We start from the raw sequence: 4047 nt of genomic DNA, 5'->3' as shown, positions 1-4047 counted from the left end.
GGAAGTTGTAAATTTTCATTTCCGTGTTATTTTCGTGTTACATAAAAATACAACTGATTTTAGTATACTAGCCTTGATCCTGTGATTTTGTTCATTTCATTTATTAGTTCTAGTAGTTTTTTTAATAAATCCCTTAGGAATTTTATGTAAACAATCATGTTATCTACAAAGAGAGAGCTTTACTTCTTCCTTCCTGATCATTTTTTAAATTTCTTTTTTCCTTTTTGCCTTATGGCAATGGCCAAAACCTCCAGGACAATGTTGAAAAGAAGTAGTGAGAGTGGGTATCCTCTAAGGAGGGTGCACCGCACACTGCTTAGCTGGTTCTGGTGTCCTGAATTCAGCAAAGAGGGCTGAGACCCAGACCTCTAAGGAGGGTGGAGTGCTGCTGGCTGGCTGGTGCAGGTATGTCCTGAATCTGGATCTGCAAGTGTTACAAAAATTACAAATTGGATTCAACTGCTGCTACAAGGAAGAACTGTTTCTGCTAAGATGAAGCATTGCTAGAGGGATAGGCACAGGAACAGGAAAAGAGGAAAATGAAATCCTTTCCTCATCCTTAACTGTCCAGTTTCCCTCTGGTGCTTGCATTTAAAAAAACAGAGCCTAATACAGAATTAGTTGGCAGAACAGAGATGTAGTTTGCCGCATTCCAGATGCAGCGTAACAACAGTGAGATACAGTAGAGTGGATTTGGAGCTGAGGGACAACAACTTAATAACAGGCATGCAAGAAGTATGCATTATGGACTTATCAGACCCAGGAATACGTTTTCTTGGCTTCCAGAGTGAGTCCTAGAAGTCATTAGAACTTTACCTCTGTTTTTGTTTTATGCTTTAGTTCTGAGATTTGTTTGGGAAAGACTCATGCTCTAACAGTTTTGCTCTGCTCTGAGATCTGTCTCCTACTGAGATGACGGGAGCTTACCTCTGTGAATTTAAGCTTTTGACCTGAAACCTCTTTCATGTTTCACTCCTAGTCTAAACTCAGCCTATCCCAGCTTTTCTCCCTCATTCTTTCCCCACTTTCCTGACTCATTTGAACTTACCTCCACAAAGGATTTTATTCTTGGCCCTGAAAAATGAAAACTTTATTTTTAGCATCTTGTGTGTTAAATGGTATGCTTCCATTCAATGTACTACTAGAACAGGACTTTTATCTCTCCCTTCCTTTGACATATTCATGCATACACATTTACACACTTTATAAGCATATGCACACCTGGAAATGTCAGTGTATAAAGACTGACATTTTTGCTTAGAGGAGTGAAGGGAATTTCTCACCATTGCACAAGGAGAGAAATGCCATTAATATTCAGCCTTCACATTGGTTGATTCTAAAGATCTTTCTCTTCCCATTTTCCACCCTATTACTCCTCTCTTCTTTTTAATACTAAGAATAATAACTCAACTTACAACACTTCATTTTTCAAAATGTTTTCACATATCTTGCAGTATGTGACAATCACAACTTCTCTGGAAAGAGGACAGATCACATTATTTTCTTTATGTCACAAGAGAGGAAACTTGGCTTAGGACATTTTCCAATGGAAGGAGAAAAATATTGCCAATAGGAAGCATTCAATCAGTGAATCTGTCTCCATTTCAGTGCAATTTTAATTAAAGCTCATTTTCAAAACATTTTAAAATTAATCTTACATCTATAATACCTGCAATCTATTTTACTTCCAGTGCCTGTGTACTATTGAGTAGCACTGTCTGTGCTTTTATAGATTGTTTTATTTGTCAGGGGGCATGTGTAAGGATGCAAATGTCTTTACTGTTCACTTCTAAGTCTGAAACTTATCAGATCCAGGCAAGGTCATTATTGGGAGTAAAGTCAGAATAAAATTTGTGTTGAATTTACTTGTAGGAAACTTTAATGTCTTAAAAGCTTATTCCCCACAGTATTAATCAGTACATTTACATTTTTATTCTAGTTCTCTCTTTTCTCTACTTTTGTTTTTTTTTTTTTTGCGTGGCCAATATCCATAAGTTTATTTTTTTTAAGAGTTTATATGTATAATGTAAGGGATTTATTTATTATATGAAAGATTCCATAAGAATTTCCAATTAAGCTACAAGAATAGCCACCTATAGCACCAAATGAGGGCCACCTGTATTTTAAAATGATGGTAACCAAGATCATGAAGAATAGCAATCAACACCTAAGGACAGTAGAAAACACTATGGTTGTGTGGCCTGAATATAAGAGAGGGAGCACATAGGTACATTTGTAATATGTCTAATATGCCAAGAAGAATGGGAGCAGTCTTAGAGGTGGACCTAGGTTGGTAAACAATAGCTTTTTGCATTTATAACTTTTTTTCTTTTTTTTTTCTTTTATTATTATTATACTTTAAGTTTTAGGGTACATGTGCACAATGTGCAGGTTAGTTACATGTGTATACGTCTGCCATGCTGGTGTGCTGCACCCATTAACTCGTCATTTAGCATTAGGTATATCTCCCAATGCCATCCCTCCACCCTCCCCCCACCCCACAACAGTCCCCAGAGTGTGATGTTCCCCTTCCTGTGTCCATGTGTTCTCATTGTTCAATTCCCACCTATGAGTGAGAATATGCAGTGTTTGGTTTTTTGTTCTTGAGATAGTTTACTGAGAATGATGATTTCCAATTTCATCCATGTCCCTACAAAGGACATGAACTCATCATTTTTTATGGCTGCATAGTATTCCATGGTGTATATGTGCCACATTTTCTTAATCCAGTCTATCATTGTTGGACATTTGGGTTGGTTCCAAGTCTTTGCTATTGTGAATAATGCCACAATAAACATACGTGTGCATGTGTCTTTATAGCAGCATGATTTATAATCCTTTGGGTATACACCCAGTAATGGGATGGCTGGGTCAAATGGTATTTCTAGTTCTAGATCCCTGAGGAATCGCCACACTGACTTCCACAATGGTTGAACTAGTTTACAGTCCCACCAACAGTGTAAAAGTGTTCCTATTTCTCCCCATCCTCTCCAGCACCTGTTGTTTCCTGACTTTTTAAAGATTGCCATTCTAACTGGTGTGAGATGGTATCTCATTGTGGTTTTGATTTGCATTTCTCTGATGGCCAGTGATGGTGAGCATTTTTTCATGTGTTTTTTGGCTACATTAATGTGTTCTTTTGAGAAATGTCTGTTCATGTCCTTTGCCCACTTTTTGATGGGGTTGTTTGTTTTTTTCTTGTAAATTTGTTTGAGTTCATTGTAGATTCTGGATATTAGCCCTTTGTCAGATGAGTAGGTTGCGAGAATTTTCTCCCATTTTGTAGGTTGCCTGTTCACTCTGATGGTAGTTTTGCTGTGCAGAAGCTCTTTAGTTTAATTAGATCCCATTTGTCAATTTTGGCTTTTGTTGCCATTGCTTTTGGTGTTTTAGACATGAAGTCCTTGCCCATGCCTATGTCCTGAATGGTATTGCCTAGGTTTTCTTCTAGGGTTTTTATGGTTTTAGGTCTAACATTTAAGTCTTTAATCCATCTTGAATTAATTTTTGTATAAGGTGTAAGGAAGGGATCATTATTTGGAGGGTGCTGTGGTCTGAATGATCATGTCTCTCCAAAATTCATGTGATAAAACCTGGCCCCCAAGGTGGTGGTATTAAAAAGTGGGGCCTTCAGGAGGTAATTAGATGATGAGGGCAAAGCCTTCATGAAAGAGAAGGTGCTCATTTGAAAGAGGCTCAAGGGAACTCCCTGGGTGCTTCCTTCATGGGAGGACATAGCTAAAGGCACCATCGTGCAAATGGAGAGTAAGTCCACAACAAACAATGAATCTGCTGGCACTTTAATCTTAGATTTCCCAGCTCCCAGAACCATGAGCAGTAAATTTCTATTATTTATAAGTTACCCAGTCTAATGAATTTGTTATAGCAGCCTGAATAGAATAGAATAGAATAAGACAAGCAGGGGGGCATATCATTTAGAATATCTGGTTCTTCACTTAGTGAATGGTTTAGAAGAAAAAATACAAAATGAAGGGTATGCCCTAATTTCTTGCTGCAGTGTTGACTTTGCATTACTCCAGAGCTAAG

Source organism: Homo sapiens, chromosome 12, assembly GCF_000001405.40.
Source record: "Homo sapiens chromosome 12, GRCh38.p14 Primary Assembly".
Lineage (NCBI taxonomy): Eukaryota > Metazoa > Chordata > Mammalia > Primates > Hominidae > Homo > Homo sapiens.
Note: the sequence above shows the minus strand (reverse complement) of the source record.